This window comes from Homo sapiens, chromosome 4 (genome assembly GCF_000001405.40).
Source record: "Homo sapiens chromosome 4, GRCh38.p14 Primary Assembly".
NCBI classification, from domain to species: domain Eukaryota; kingdom Metazoa; phylum Chordata; class Mammalia; order Primates; family Hominidae; genus Homo; species Homo sapiens.
This window is the reverse complement of record NC_000004.12, coordinates 16,599,755-16,616,532: the sequence shown is the minus strand read 5'-3', so window position 1 is coordinate 16,616,532 and position 16,778 is coordinate 16,599,755. Positions and strand designations below refer to the sequence as shown.

At 39.1% G+C, this 16,778-nt stretch overlaps 1 protein-coding gene across 22 annotated transcripts in view, besides 1 other annotated feature; it reads left to right on the top strand.

Moving 5' to 3' along the window:
• LDB2 (LIM domain binding 2) overlaps positions 1–16,778 on the top strand; it is a 397,105-nt gene that overhangs the window by 282,113 nt on the left and 98,214 nt on the right. The gene's annotated exons all lie outside the window — the stretch shown is intronic.
• Positions 6,795–7,315: an enhancer, noted in NCBI's record as "H3K27ac-H3K4me1 hESC enhancer chr4:16610841-16611361 (GRCh37/hg19 assembly coordinates)". NCBI's record gives its function as "activates a minimal SCP1, AML or CMV promoter by ChIP-STARR-seq in naive H9 embryonic stem cells {active_cell/tissue: H9 hESC(naive)}" and the evidence as "EXISTENCE:reporter gene assay evidence [ECO:0000049][PMID:30033119]".

Sequence of the window (16,778 nt, the reverse complement as noted above, 5' to 3'; positions counted from 1 at the left end):
CTCCTGACACCAACCACCCCTTTGCCCCACTGCCTACCTGGACATCAAGTTGATTTTATTCTCAGCACCTCTGCTTGGGAATGCATTGACCCTTCTTTCCTTCTTTCCATTCATCCTCCATCTCTCCCTTTCTCTTTTGCTAGCATTTATTCCCTATGTATTGAACACACACTGGGAATCAGGTGTTTTCTGTGTTATTTAATCTTTATGGCAAGTTAATAATAATAAAATTATAAAATAACTAACAGTAGTCAACACATTATCTTGATATGTGCCAGTGCAAAATTCAGTCATCCAACAGATGTTTATTTATGAAACGCCTACTACGCATTCTGAGAGAATAACCAGTAACAAAAAGACATGGTTCTTCCCTTTCTGGAGCTTGTATTCTTGTGGGGGAATGGTTGATACAGTAACTAGTATATAATGTGAGTATCCATGAATGTTAGGAAGAAAAGTTAATTAGGGTAAGGGGGTAGAGTTCGCCTGAGGCAAGAGCATTTCATGGATGGTTTTATACCATCTGTACAACATCCCCATGAGGTTGCTTCTGTTCTAATTCCCATTTATCCAACAAGAGACCTGAGACCAGAGTGATTAAGGAACTTGCCCAAGGTTACACAGCTACCATAAGGCAGAGCACGGAGTCAAGTCCTAGGCAGGGCTGCTCCAGGTCCCCACTCTTGACCCCATGGCCCACTCCTGGCAGAGGCTCAGGCCTAAGGAGCCTTGGGAGGACGAATCCCAGGAGGGTTCCCTAGACCTTCTTTTTTTAAAATTTTATTTATTCACTTTTTTTAATTTCTTCCAAAAAAATGGGATACATGTGCAGAATGTGCAGGTTTGTTACATAGGTATATGTGTGCCATGGTGGTTTGCTGCACCTATTGATCCATCCTCTAAGTTCCCTCCTTCACCCCCCACCCCCCAACAGGCCCTGGTGTGTGTTGTTCCCTTCTCTGTGTCCATGTGTTCTCAGTGTTCAACTCTCACTTATGAGCGAGAACATGTGGTGTTTGGTTTTCTGTTCCTGTGTTAGTTTCCTGAGGTTGATGGCTTCCAGCTTCATCCATGTCCCTGCAAAGGACATGATCTCATTCTTTTTTATGGCTGCATAGCATTCCATCGTATATATGTACCGCATTTTCTTTATCCAGTCTATCATCGATGAGCATTTGGGTTGGTTCCATGTCTTTGCCATTGTAAATAGTGCTGCAATAAACATATGTGTACATGTGTCTTTATAGTAGAATGATTTATATTCCATTAGGTTATATATCCAGTAATGAGATGGCTGGGTCAAATGGTATTTCTAGTTCTAGATCCTTGAGGAATTGCTAAACTGTCTTCCACAATGGTTGAACTAATTTACGCTCCCACTAACAGTGTAAAATCGTTCCTATTTCTCCAAAGCCTCACCAGCATCTATTGTTTCTTGACTTTTTTTTTTTTTTTTTTTTTTTGAGACGGAGTCTCGCTCTGTCGCCCAGGCTGGAGTGCAGTGGCGGGATCTCGGCTCACTGCAAGCTCCACCTCCCGGGTTCACGCCATTCTCCTGCCTCAGCCTCCCAAGTAGCTGGGACTACAGGCGCCCGCCACTACGCCCGGCTAATTTTTTGTATTTTTAGTAGAGACGGGGTTTCACCGTTTTAGCCGGGATGGTCTCGATCTCCTGACCTCATGATCCGCCCGCCTCGGCCTCCCAAAGTGCTGGGATTACAGGCGTGAGCCACCGCGCCCGGCCGTTTCTTGACTTTTTACTAATCACCATTCTGACTGGCATGAGATAGTATCTCATTGTGATTTTCATTTGCATTTCTCTGATGATCAGTGATGTTGAGCTTTTTATCACGTTTGTTGGTACGTAAATATCTTTTTTTAAGAAGTATCTGTTCATATCCTTTGCCCACTTTTTTTGATGGGGTTGCTTGTTTTTTTTTTTTTTTTTTTTTGTTTTTTCTTGTAAATGTGTTTAAGTTCCTTGTAAATTCTGGATATTAGACCTTTGTCAGAGGGATAGATTGCAAAACTTCTCTCCCATTTTGTAGGTTGCCTGTTCAGTTTGATGATAGTTTCCTTTGCTGTGCAGAAGCTCTTTAGTTTAATTAGCTCCCATTTGTCAATCTTGGCTTTTGTTGCAATTGCTTTTGGCATTTTTGTCATGAAGTCTTTGCCCATGCTTATGTCCTGAATGGTATTGCCTAGGTGTTCTTCTAGAGTGTTTATGGTTTTGGGTTTTACATTTAAGTCTTTAATCAATCTTGAGTTAATTTTTGTATAAGGTGTTAAGGAAGGGGTCTGGTTTCAGTTTTCTATATAGGGCTAGCCAGCTTTCCCAGCACCATTTACTGAATAGGATATCCTTTCCCCATTGCTTGTTTTTGGCAGGCTTTTCAAAGATCAGATGATTGTATATGTGTGGTGTTATTTCTGAGGTCTCTGTTCTGCTCCATTGGTCTGTATGTCTGTTTTGGTACAAGTATCATGCTGTTTTGGTTACTGTAGCCTTGTAGTATAGTTTGAAGTCAGGTAGTGTGTTGCCTCCAGTTTGTTCTTTTCACTTAAGATTGTCTTGGCTATACAAGGTCTTCTTTGATTCCATATGAAATTTAAAATAGTTTTTTTCTAATTCTGTGAAGAATGTCAATGTAGCTTGATGGGAATAGCATTGAATCTATAAATTACTTCGGGCAGTATGGTCATTTTCTCAATATCGATTCTTCCTATCCATGAGGATGGAAGGTTTTTCCATTTGTTTGTGTCCTCTCTTATTTCCTTGAGCAGTGGTTTGTAGTTCTCCTTGAAAAGGTCCTTTACATCACTTGTTAGCTGTATTCCTAGGTATTTTTTTCTCTTTGTAGTGATTATGACTGGGAGTTCATTCATGATTTGGCTCTCTGCATGCCTATTGTTGGTGTAAAGGAATGCTTGTGATGTTTGCACATTGATTTTGTATCCTGAGACTTTGCTGAAGTTGCTTATCAGTTCAAGAAATTTGGGGGCTGAGATGATGGGGTTTTTTGAATATAAATGCATAGTAGGCATTTCATAAATAAACATATGTTGGATGACTGAATTTTGCATTGGCACATGTCATCTGCAAAGAGAGACAACTTGACTGCATCTCTTCTTATTTGAATACCCTTTATTTCTTTCTGTTGCCTGATTGCCCTGGCCAGAACTTCCAATACTATGTTGAATAAGAGTGGTGAGAGACAGCATCCTTGTCTTGTACCGGTTTTCAAAGGGAATGCTTCCAGCTTTTGCCATTCAATATGATATTGGCTGTAGGTTTGTTATAAATAGCTCTTATTATTTTGAGATGTGTTCCATCAATACCTAAGTTTATTGAGAGATTTTAACATGAAGGGATGTTGAATTTTACCAAAGGCCTTTTCTGCATCTATTGAAATAATCATGTGGTTTTTGTCTTTGGTTCTGTTTATGTGATGGGTTACACTTATTGATTTGCATATGTTGCATATGTTGAATCAGCCTTGCATCTCAGGGATGAAGCCGACTTGATTGTAGTGGATAAGGTTTTCAATGTGCTGCTGGATTCAGTTTACCAGTATTTTATTGAGGATTTTCGCATCAATGTTCATCAGGGTTATTGGCCTAAAGTTTTCGTTTTTTATTCTGTCTCTTCCCGGTTTGGGTATCAGGATGATGCCAGCTTCATAAAATGAGTTAGGGAGGGATCCCTCCTTTTCAGCTGTTTGGAATAGTTTCAGAAGGAATGGTAACAACTCCTCTTTGTATTTCCGGTACAATTCAGCTGTGAATCCGTCCGGTCCTGGGCTTTTTTGTTTGGTAGGCTATTAATTACTGCCTAAATTTCAGAGCTTGTTATTGGTCTATTCAGGGATTCAACTTCTTCCTGGTTTAGTCTTGGTAGGGTGTATGCATCCAGGAATTTATCAATTTCTTCTAGTTTATTTGTTTAGAGGTGTTTGTAGTATTCTCTGATGGTAGTTTGTATTTCTGTGGTGTCAGTGTTTATATCCCCTTTATCTTTTTTTACCGTGTCTATTTGATTCTTTTTTCTCTTCTTCTTAGTCTAGTTAGTGGTCAATCTGTTTTGTTAATTTTTCTCAAAAAACCTGCTCCTGGATTCGTTGATTGTTTGGAGGATTTTTCGTGTCTCTGTCTCCTTCAATTCTTCTCTGATCTTAGTTATTTCTTGTCTTCTGCTAGCTGTTGGATTAGTTTGCTCTTGCCTCTCTAGCTCTTTTAATTGTGATGTTAGGGTGTCGATTTGAGATCTTTCTAGTTTTCTGATGTGGGCATTTAGTGTTATAAATTTCCCTCTTAACACTGCTTTAGCTGTGTCCCAGAGATTCTGGTACATTGTCTGTTTGTTCTCACTGGTTTCAAAGAACTTTTTGATTTCTGCCTTAATTTCATTATTTACCCAGGAGTCATTCAGAAGCAGGTTGTTCAATTTCCATGAAATTGTGTGGTTTTTACTGAGTTTCTTAATCCTGAATTCAAATTTGATTGCACTGTGGTCTGAGAGACTGTTTGTTATTATTTCCGTTCTTTTGCATTTGCTGAGGAGTGTTTTACTTCCAATTATGTGGTCAATTTTAGGATAAGTGCCATGTGGTATTGAGAAGAATGTATATTCTATTGATTTAGGGTAGAGAGTTCTGTAGACGCCTACTAGGTCTGCTTGATACAGAGCCGAGTAAAAGTCCTGGATATCCTTGTTAATTTTCTGTCTTGTTGATCTGTCTAATACTGACAGTGGGGTGTTAAAGTCTCCCACTATTATTGTGTGGGAGCCTAAGTCTCATTGTAGGTCTCTAAGAACTTGTTTTATGAATCTGGGTGCTCCTGTATTGGGTGCATATATATTTAAGATAGTTAGCTCTTCTTGTTGAATTGCTCCGTTTACCACTATGTAATGCCCTTCTTTGTCTTTTTTGACCTTTGTTGGTTTAAAGTGTTTTGTGAGAGACTAGGATTGCAATCCCTGCTTTTTTTTTTTCTTTCCATTTGCTTGGTAAAGTTTCCTCCCTCCCTTCATTTTGAGCCTGCGTGTTTCTTTGCATGTAAGATGGGTCTCCTGAATACAGCGCACTAATTGGTCTTGACTCCATATCCAATTTGCCAGTCTGTCTTTTACTTGAGGCATTTAGCCTGTTTACATTTAAAATTAGTGTTGTTATATGTGAATTTGATCCTGTCATCATGCTGCCATTTGGTTATTTTGCACACTAGTTGACGCAGTTTCTTTGTAGTGTCATTGGTCTTTATATGTTGGTGTGTTTTCGCAGTGGCTGGTACTGGTTTTTCCTTTCCATATTTAGTGCTTCTTTCAGGAGCTCTTGCAGGGCAGGCCTGGTGGTAACGAAATCCCTCAGCATTTGCTTGTCTGGAAAGGATTTTAGTTCTCCTTCACTTATGAAGTTTAGTTTGGCTGGAGATGAAATTCTGGGTTGGAAATTCTTTACTTTAATAGTGTTGAATATTGGCCTCCAATCTCTTCTGGCTTGTAGAGTTTCTGCTGAGACGTCCTCTGTTAGTCTGATGGGCTTCCCTTTGTAGGTGACCTGGCCTTTCTCTCTGGCTGCCCTTAACAGTTTTTTCTTCATTTCAACCTTGGCGAATCTGATGATTATGTGTCTTGGGGTTGATCTTCTTGTGGAGTATCTTAATGGCGTTCTCTGTATTTCCTGAATTTGCACGTTGGCCTATCTTGCTAGGTTGGGGAAATTCTCCTGGATAATATTGTGAAGGGTGTTTTCCAGCTTGTTTCCATTCTCCCCATCACATTCTGGTACTCCAGTCAATCGTAGGTTCGGTCTTTTTATGAAGTCCCGTATTTCTTGGAGGCTTTGTTCATTCCTTTCATTTTTTTTTTTTCGCTATTCTTGTCTGCATGTCTTATTTCAGTAAGGTGGTCTCCAAGCTGATATTCTTTCTTCCACTTGTTCGATTTGGCTGTTGATACTTGTGTCTGCTTCACAATGTTCTCATGCTGTGTGTTTCAGCTCTATCAGGTCATTTATGTTCCTCTCTAAACTGGTTATTCTAGTTAGCAATTCCTCTAACCTTTTATCAAAGTTCTTAGCTTCTTTGCTTTGGGTTAGAAGATGCTCCTTTAGTTCATCATAGTTTTTTATTACCCATCTTCTGAAGCCTACTTCTGTCAATTCATCCATCTGATCCTCTGCCCCGTTCTGCACCCTTGATGGAGAGATGTTGCGATCATTTGGAGGAGACGAGGCACTCTGGCCTTTTGGGTTTTCAGCATTTTTTCACTGATACTTTCTCATCTTGGTGAGTTTGTCTAGTTTCGGTCTTTGAGGCTGCTGACCCTTGGATGGAGTTTCTGTGGGGGCCTTTTTGTTGTTGATGCTATTGTTGCCACTTTCTGCTTGTTTGTTTTTCTTTCAATAGTCAACTCCCTCTTCTGTAGGGGTGCTGCAGTTTGCTGGAGGTTCACTTCAGGCCATATTCATCTGATTCGCTCCCATGCCTGGAGATGTCACTCAAGGAGGCTGGAGAGCAGCAAAGATGGGTGTCTGCTCCTTCTTCCAGGATCTCTGACCCGAAGGGACACCAACCTGATGCCATTAGGATGCCAGTAGGGTGTCTGACAACCCCTGTTGGAGGATCTCACCCAGTTGGGTGGCACAGGTAGCAGGACCCATTTAACGAAGTGCTTTGTCCCTTGGTGGGGAGAGTGTGTTTCGCTGAGAGGGGAAACCCTCTCATCTGTGCTATCCAGATTCCTCAGAACTACTAGGAGGAGAGGCTAAGTCTGCTGGTCAGCAGAGACTGCAGCCACCTCTCCCCCTCCGCCTAGGGGCTCAGGCCCAGGGAGATCTGAATTCTGCCCCTGAGCCTCTGGCTGGAGTTATTGGAGATCCTGCAGGGAAGCACTGCCTGAGGGAGGATAGGTCAGGGTTGGGCCTGAAGAGGCACTCTGGCCGCAGACTGCCACAGCCGATGTGTTGGGTTGTGGGGACACGTCTTGGGACCAAGCTGTCCAGCCTCCCTGGCTCCAGCAGGGGAAAAGCACAGCCTGGAGCTATAGAAATGGGTGCCACTCTTCCCCTACCTAGGGAGCTTAGGCAGCTGTGAGTCCCAGTGCTGGCTGCTGCCCCTCCCCCAAGGAGCTCAAATGGCTTAGACAGCAGGCAGCTGGTTGCCCTTCCCCTCCCCCCCCCGCCCCCTCCCCTGGGAGTTCAGTAGGCTTAAGCAGATTCCAGCTGAGAGGCTGTTAAGAATCTGCTGGTTCCGGGGTTGGGACACTAGACCCCGGTGGCGTGGGTTCGCAAGTGGGATCTTCTGATCTGTAGGTTGCACAGTTTCCTTGGCTGGGTAGCACGCTCATTTACCATCTCCCTTGGCTGGGAGGAGGTGGTTCCCCTTCCCTGTGTGGCCCTCAGGTAGGCCACTGCCCCGCGCTGTTCTTCCTTCTCTCCATGGGTCACACCAGTCTTCTAGTCAATTTTGATGAGAGAACATGGATACCTTGATTGCTAGTGAAGGATTCACTCGCTTATTACGGTTTTTTCTATGGGAGCCTCCGAATTCCGCTGTTTCCAGTCGGCCGTCTTGGCCCCGCCCCCCAGACCTTCTTATTAGTTTTTAATAATGACAGAAGAGAGAGAATGAAGCCAGAGAGAGAAGCCTGAGCTGTGACCTGCAATGGAGCAGCCCTGCTCCTGACTCGTGTGGTCCAGCAGATGTCTGGTGTTCCTCTCTCCCTGTCAGAAGCCCTCCTCTCGTCCTGGAGGTGATGGAGTGCAGACCGTTCAGAGATGTCATTCATCTTTAGGAATGGAGCCCCAGTCCCCCACTGAAAGGTGATGGGACAGCTTCAAGGAAGAATGATGGGATAATGGCGGAAAGTCCGGTGCGCTTGTTATGTGTGTTTTAACCTATGAGAGACATTAGTGACGTGCTGCTGTAAGCATTGGCACCTAGGTCCAAGGATCAGGTTGACCAGGGCCATTTCAGAACCCATAGAATGCGCAGAGGCCGCTTTCTCTTGCCGAAAACCTGCACACAGAATGTCATACCCCACAGCTGGTGCCCAGGCAATGTTTCAGACATGGGTGGGTATAATTGGGCTGTTCCGTCCTGCTGCCTGAGAGCCTATGCAACATTAATTCTCTGTTGGAACGGTTGTTCCTTTTCTTGTAGACAATCCAAGGGTCAGAAGCACAGCCCCCTGTGGACTCCCGAGGAATGTGAATCTGACCCTTTTTTTACTGCTTCTCATTTCCAAGGACTTTTACTTCCTGTAAAATGCCCCTGGAATGCTGACCTGGCATGCAAATAGTCTTTTTTTTTTTTTTTTTTTTTTGAAGAAGTGTGATTTTCTGTATGGAGTCGGATGTTTGTGAATCACACACATACAGTATGGTAAGGTAGAAACCCCATCAAAACTAAGTTGTCTTAGATAGGAGACTTTATTTTTTACTAGCAGAACTCAAAATTAACTTTAAAAATGAATCTTTTAAAGTGATTACTCTAAACCAGAAACCATGTTCTGGACTAGAACATTGAGATATGAAAATTCCAGATGCAGGGCCCTAAAACCTTATTTCCCCTTTTTTGTGGTCTTGATTCTCTTGAACCTGAAATGAAAGTGGCCTTACCTCTGTGTTAGAAACCCGTGCGTATGCATAACAGGTTTGAGATTCGCAGACTGTCCAAATAGGCGTGCCAAGTCCACATTTATCCACTTGCCAAACATCTCATAAGTAGCTATTTACATCACAAATGTGCCATGATACTGAAATGATCAAGAAACGTTCTCTGCCTTCAGGGAACTACAGTCACTGAAGGAAAGACAATAAAATTGATGATTACAATGCAGTGTGATGAGTCCCAAATCTGTGCATAAACAGGGTATTATGGGAGTGATTAAGTAGAGCTAACATGTGTCAGGCATTGTGCTAAGCACTTCACGTGCATAGTGTTATTAATATTTGCAACTGCCCACTGAAGCAGTTATTGTTGTATTGCCATTTTGCAGCTGAAGAAACTAGGGTTTAGAGAGCATAAATCATTTCTTCAAGGTCACAGTATGAGTAAGTAGCACAGCCAGTGTGTGAATCAGAAACTTTCAAGGCAGTGCTCAAGTTTATGAACACTTTAAGAATACAAAGGAGAGAATGAGAGACAAAAGGGCAAGGAGGATGGTTCTGGAGCTTGAGACTTGAGGATGCCTATGAGTTTGGATAAAACAGAAGAGATGAAGCAAGGCCCCCCTGGGTGGCGGATGCTGAATGAGCAAAGGTTTCAAAGAATGCAAGTGCATGGCAGCACTGAGGAAGTAGATGAGATTGAAATGGCATTGAGAAAAGGGTGTGGGGGAGAGCCAGTTTATTATTTTAATTCTACAAACCTTTCTTTTGACTTCAAAATCCCCTTTCAAGGGTCATGTTTTATTAGCTTCTATTTTAGTAACTGCTTAACACTTTAGAAGGAATGTCTTGTATAATATCCAACCCTGAGGAAAGGACCAGTTTTACCCAAGTCTGCCTTCTCTCTACAGAAAGGAAATCACCTCTCTCACCACTCTTAGAATTGCTAACGGTTGATGATTCCTGGTTTAGGTTAAACTGGAAATTACACACATATGTCTGTTTCTCTGGCAACATTTCTCTAACCCAGATGAATCGTGTTGATATTAAAACACAAAATTCAATGACTTAGGGTGTCCCCATTGGTTTGAGTTGGAGAAGTCCTGATAAAACATATTGAAATAATTTTATAAGAACTCTTAGAGTTTGGCAACTTTGAAAAATAAAGGAGTAGATTTTCTTTTCTACTTCTCTAGTCTGGAGTAATTTTTCCATGCAGCCAAGTGAATGGATTTTGAGTAGAAAACTGCAAACCATCTGAAAAGGTCAAATGTAAATTAGTCACTTGGAGCAATAACCACATGAGCTGGATGCCTGTCATTAATTATTTACCTTTATCATTTACATGCAGATAAACTTTTGAGTACTTGAGGGCTGTCACTTTGTGAGGGACATGCTTTATGATCTAAATGGCAAAAAATTAAAAACTTGACAATATTAAGTGTTGGTGAAAGTTGTGGGTGAAACAGGTACTATCAGGGCTGATAAGGAAGCAAATTGGTAACAGCATTTTGAAGGACAATTTCTGGTACCTAGTAAAATAAAATATATATTTCCCTTTCTACCCTGTTGAGAAAAGAATGTAAAACAATCTCTGATGTCCCTCAACATGGGAATATCTAGATAATTTTGATAGAGCCATACTCTAGAATACAATGCTGCATTTAAAATCAACAAATGAGTCTTCTTATGTACACTAACATATTTAAAGCTGAAAGCGTATTATTGACTAATAAAAGAAAAATCCTACCATATAGATACATTTAATATAACTTTGTGTAAATAAACACAAAATACAATGAAACAAAATAATTTAAAAATCTAAAGGCTAGGGAACATTGATAAAAAGGTGAGCTAGGAAGTGGTGAAGGCACTGAGATTGGTGGGTATAGGGTGGTCAGGGAACCTACACTTACTGGTAACTGTTTTACTTAACCCTAGCAGTTTAAACAAATAAAGTTTGATATTCCAATGTCTTAACACCATAGAAAGGTATTTTTTGCTCCAAAGTCCAAATGAGTTCTCCCCAAATGTGGCAGTTCCCCCTCCTGGTGGTAACTTAGGAAACCAGAGGCTCCTCCATTTCCTGACTCCTCCATCCTTAGGGCAGTGAGCAGGGCGGGGAGGTCTCTGGAATCTGCCCACTGTGTCTTCAGTGTCTGGATGTCAGAGATAGGGAGATAGTGCACCAGCTACACACAGAATGATTTTACTGGCCTGTCTGGAAGTGGGATTTCCCTTCTTGACATCTATTCTGTTGAACAAAATGAAAACAATGGAAGTGTCCATTAGGCACTGGCCACAACTCTGTCATAAGACAGCACTGAGCTAAAAGGGAGTTTGATAATTCTGTAAGGTCTAACTCAACACCTGGAGAAAAGAATCAAATTTATTGTGACGAGCTAGTGAGTACCTGTGAGAGTAATATGGTGTTTTTTTTGTTTTTTTGTTTTTTGCACATGTATTACTAATGTGACTTAAAAACTAATTATAATTAAATCAAGACATAGAAATTAACCAACATTGGTTGATCAAAAACAAAAAGTGTTCCATTTTATTGCACCCTAACTCCAAGTAAGCTATGTAGTTTTACTTCTCTGATCGTGGAATTTCTCTCCTATTAAAAGGAAGGTGTGGAATATAATCATGGATAACCTCATTACTTTTATTAAATAACTGTCAGCATTTTATATTTTATTTTTTCCCACATCTGTTAAGTGCCATTCATGATCACTAATCAAGAGCTAATCAGTATTACCATAACCGGGATCATCCTACTCGAATCAGAGAAACATGTTAAGTATGTTCCTTTTTAATGATTTTTTAAAAAAATATAGAACTAGCTAAAGTTGCATTTGAAGACCTTCAGGAATCCATTGGGATTAGGAGATGCTGCTGGGAATTACTGGACTAAACCTTTTGCTGGCCTTATCTTTCTAACTTAGCATCCAGCAAGTGGCTCAAATAGAGCGCTGCTTTCACTGACATTTGTGAAAGGAATGAATTAATTCATAAGTTAAATTTATCCAAAAATGTGGTATATGTGTGCATAAGAGAAAGTAAGGTTTATACTAGGAGTGCAAAAGGTGTTCGATAATTGAAAATATATTAATGAATCGTTTTCTAAAGGAAAATTGCTTTATTGCTGAAAAGGCATACAGTCAAATTAGACATTTATCAGGATTAAAAAGAAAAAAGTCATAAAACCAAGGAATAGGATAATAGTTTGTTTTTCTTTCCATAGCAAGTAACAAGATCTCAAATCAACATTTAGTACTTCCCCTAGTCCTAGATACATTCCCTAAAACTATCAAGGAGAAAAAAGAATGCTCGCTACTTCCCTCATTATTTAAAATTTTTCTGAAAGTTCTGTTATACATATATATATATAAATATATATATTTTCTCATGTTATTGCAAAGTTATTGCTATATATATATAAGAATATATATATTCTCATGTTATTGCAATGGTTAGAACAGGACTATATATAGGAAAGGAGAATCTATATATAGGTAAGGAGAAAGGGAACAAAAATATCAATATTTGGGAATAGTGGATTATTTTGCCTAGAAAACTTTTTAAAACATTCCCCAAAAGCTATTAATATTAATGAATATTCAGTTAAATGCCTGGGTTACAAATAGAAATACAAGTTTTAAAATTCCATTAACCATTTAGCATAACTAAAATATTCAAGGATCTTAAGAAATGTTAAGTATCCAAATATAGAAAACTACAAACTTCAGAGGGTGCAACATATTTGTTGGCCAGGCACTATGGCTCATGCCTGTAATCCCAGCCTTTTGGGAAGCCAAGGCAGGAGGATCTACTGAGGCCAGGAGTTCAAGACCAGCTGGACCCCGTCTCTATAAAGAAGTAAAAAATTTAGCCTGTCATGGTGGCACCTGTGTTCTCAGCCCACTTGGGTGTCTGAGGCAGGAGGATTCTTTGAGCCCAGGAGTTTGAGGTTACAGTGAGCTATGATTGCATTACTGCGCTCTAGCCCAGGTGACAGAGTGAGACCCTTTTTCTAAAAGAAAGAACAAAGAAAAACTATGGAATTTCTTAAAGATAAAAATAAAGATTTAAACAACTGGACATACATTTCGTATTCCTTTATAGGAAGATTGGATATTTTAAAGATGCCAACTTTTTCTTAGTACATTTAATTTAATTTGAATCAATTTCTCTCCCTATTTCTTTTTTGAATTTAACATAATTATTTTAAGGTTCATATGAAGAATAAAAAACAGAGTACAGTTATGAAAATGCTGACATAAAAGAGTAATACAGAGGGCAAAAATAAATCTGTCAGACGTAAACTACATCTTAAAGTTTTAATAACTAAAAGACTATTGTATCGTCATAAGGAGAGAGCAGGAGCTCTATGTAATGGAGTAGCTCATCCAGATGAGATCCTCCAAGGTATAAATATATAACATCTGACCAAGGCAGCAGCCTAGATCACGGGAATATACCACCTTCTCTAACTAATGCTGTTGCTTCTGCCGGGACCACTCTCTTGCTGCGCCCTCTGTGCCTGATTAACATCTCTGCATCCCTTAGCTCAGGTCTTTCTCTGACACCTCACTCTCTCCACATGGACTCTGTACTATCTTTACAAGCCATTAGTAACACAGCATGGACTTATTATGGAAGTCATTAAAGGATTTCAATTTCATACTTACAGGGTGTTTGATTCATGTTAAGAAGTCCAGTTAGAAGGAGGTCTCCATTGCTCTGGACTTCTCCTATACAATGTTATTGTCAGTACTTTAGATCAAAGTCGAAAGAGTTTTGTCACCATGAAAGACACACATCTAGAAGAAATAGCCCATAGTATCACTGACAGAATCAAGATCCAAAATAACCTGAATATGTCGAAATAATGGGTTCAATTAAATGAGATGAATTCTATCAGGTTTACATGTAAGCTTCTATGACTTGAGACCTATAAATTCACATATTTATTGCATTGACTTATTCATTATTGTGTGTCAGACAATGGGGAAACAGGAGAGACAAGATGGAGCCATGACACACATCTTGCATGCCCTTAATTGGTGAATTAATGATGCTAAGAATTGCTTGATCCAAAGCTCTGTAACAGCAGGAGTGGGGTCTGTCTTGGTCATCCTTGTTTCTCTAGCACTTAGCATCTACTGCAAGGTAGGGTGACTGAAGTCTTGGTCAAGTTATTAAAAATTTGGTAGGTAGAAGTGGAAGAAAAAATGCCTATTTATAAGAGGATCAAAAATTTTCATGGTGTTTTGAGACCATGTTGGCAGCTGGAAAATGCATTTAGGAAAAACAGAGTAAATTATATCATTGGCTAAAATCTTTCAATGTCTTGACATTGCACTAAGGATAAAACGGAAGCCATTTGCCGTGGTTTAGAAAGTCCCACATAATCTGACCCTGCCTCTTTCTGTGACCTCATCTCTATCATCTTGTTCTCTTTGACCACCCTCCTACCACAAAGCCTTCTTTCTGATACCGTAGCACACTAAACTCGTTCAATCAAAATTCATTCCTGTCTTAGGGCTTTTGCCCCTGTGGTTCTTGGGCCTGGACCTCTTTAATTCCAGATCTTCGCACGGCTTTGTTCAATTGGGACTCACCTCCATCATCACTTTTTCACGGCAGCCTTCCAGGCTGGCCAATCTAAACTAGTTGGCCTTCCCGAGCTATCAAGTTTATTCTCTGTCTCCTTACTCGTCTATTTCTAGCACCTAGAACAATATCTGGCCTGTAGTAGTTACCTAATAAGTATATATGAAATAAATGAATCTTTGAAATCACAAGACAGGTCATCAGAGAGAAAATATTCAAGTAAATTAGTTTGAGAAAATAAGTAAAAGGCATATTAGAATGAAAGTCATGCCAATTTATAAAAGTAAAATTAATTAATTAATTCGACTTGCATTCCCTTCACCAAGAACAACAAGATCTACCTTGAACTAGTATCACCCCCATCACAGGTCAAGCATATTTTACTTCCATTGTTTTGGCTATATATAATGGTTATTTACCATAAATAAAATCATCAGTCTTGTTTATCTCACTCCTAGGAGCATATTCATTTGTATGTCAGCATAATGCATTTACTGATTTCTGAATACAGATAAGTTTAAAGTTTAATGACTCTTGGTGTTTATTATGTATCTGAATAATAGAATTTCCATTTGGATTTTTGAGATATAGCAGAATTACAGAAGCTCTAGCAGAACCACATAAAACTACCCAGATTTAGCCAACGAATTTATCTATTTTCATGTTTAGATAAAAATTTTTTAAATCCTAGTATGGTAAATAATTTTAATATAATTAAGTTTACCTAATTAAAAACATGTGCTTGGTTATATAGTTCTCTCTTTTCAGAGTTGCAAAATCATCAGCTAAATAGTGATAATATGTTAAATGGCATTAATATATTGTTAGTTACAAATTTTCCTCTTACTCCACATTTTATGAAAATCAGACTCTCAACCCCTTCTGTTTCTTGGAAGTGAATTGTCTTTGAAACATAGAAATTGCAGGCATCTAAAATTGTAATTCATGCCCTGAAATTAAAAAGTCTTACATTAGATGATGGTTTCTCAAAAGGCTTGTAGAACTTCAGAGCACTTAAACATAAACTTGAGAATTGCAGTTTGGTAAGGGTATTTACCAAGAGCTTAGAGTCCCACCTAACAGACTTCCAGAGAGTTAGAAATTCTCAAAATAAGAAATAATCACTACGTTGATTTCCTTAAAAGTATTTGTGTATATCTGTTTTACCACAGCCTCACCAGGTTTATGTTGTAATCCTTTTGTTATTATTTTAACTTTGTACCTCAATAACTAGTTCGAATATTTTCATATGTGGTTATTTTCTACACGCAGTTTCTTTCATGTGAATTACTTATAAACATCCTTAAGTTTTTTTTAATGCATTTCATAATTACTAAAAGAGATAAAATGCTCTAAAAGGCAGACCTTCTGCTTTGGGGAGGAGGCACAGTAGTTTATGTCTTCTTTATGAGCTCCCAGCTTGTATTACACCATTTTGTTTCTAAACAAGGAAAAAAGTTAATTAACATCAATGAATATCCTGTAGATATCCTAATATCTACAAGTAATACCTACAAGAAAAGATAGAAGTTAGATCCTGCCTCCACCACACCGTCACCCTATCAACTTCCATAGCAAGAATTTCTGGGGAGTAGGGATGGATGTAAACAAAATAGAACAACAACGAAAATCTCCCTAAGGAGCTTGAAAGCAGGGATCCACAGCTCAATTAGCTATGAATTAAATCTTAGCTATTTCTGGACTAATCATATTTACCTATAAAGTGTAACATTCTTTATACACATTTCAACACCTGAATAATTTAATGTGTGATTTTCTTTTATCTTTCATGAATACATAGATAAATAATGTATGGTATATTTTACTCACCTAACATCACAGAAAATCTTCCTGTGTTCTCTGGCTCTCCACACTTCCCAACTTTTGGACCTTTGATCTAAATGTGTCAGAAAAATACCATCGCCTTTATAATCTACTATAATCTTAATCTCACTCCAACAAAATTCAGAAGACATAATCCTTTTCATAGGAGCACAATGTAGATTTATGTATATCAATATTTAAATTATTTTAATTCCAGGGATTAAAGTATAAATGTAAAGTGTAACTTTGACATATGATTGTAACAGTATAAAATCTAAATAGATTTGGAACTGGTGTGGCTGTCGAGTTAGGTGACCGCTGAACCTAAATCTGAAATGTTCACTGATTTAGTCATTTATATCTGACTGTGCAATGCAGTGGCATGGTTGACTGCAGTAAAAGAACATGCTCATCTCAGAGCTTCAGAAATAATAAAATCATACACTGAATTCAGGATACAGGAGATACTGATAAAGAGTTCAAAATCATAAACCCATTTTTATGCTTTATCAGCGATCACATCATGTTATAGATACTTAAATACTTGCTACCTCTCCTGATAGAAATGAATTTGAAAGACAGGGACAAAAATCTAATTCAAATTCAAAAATCAATTTGAAAGAGAGGGACAAAAGTTTGTGTTTGCAGCATCGACCGTCAACCATGGAGCTTTATACCTACTCCAGGTTCAGTGAATGTTTACAGAAGAAATTGATGAATGATCAA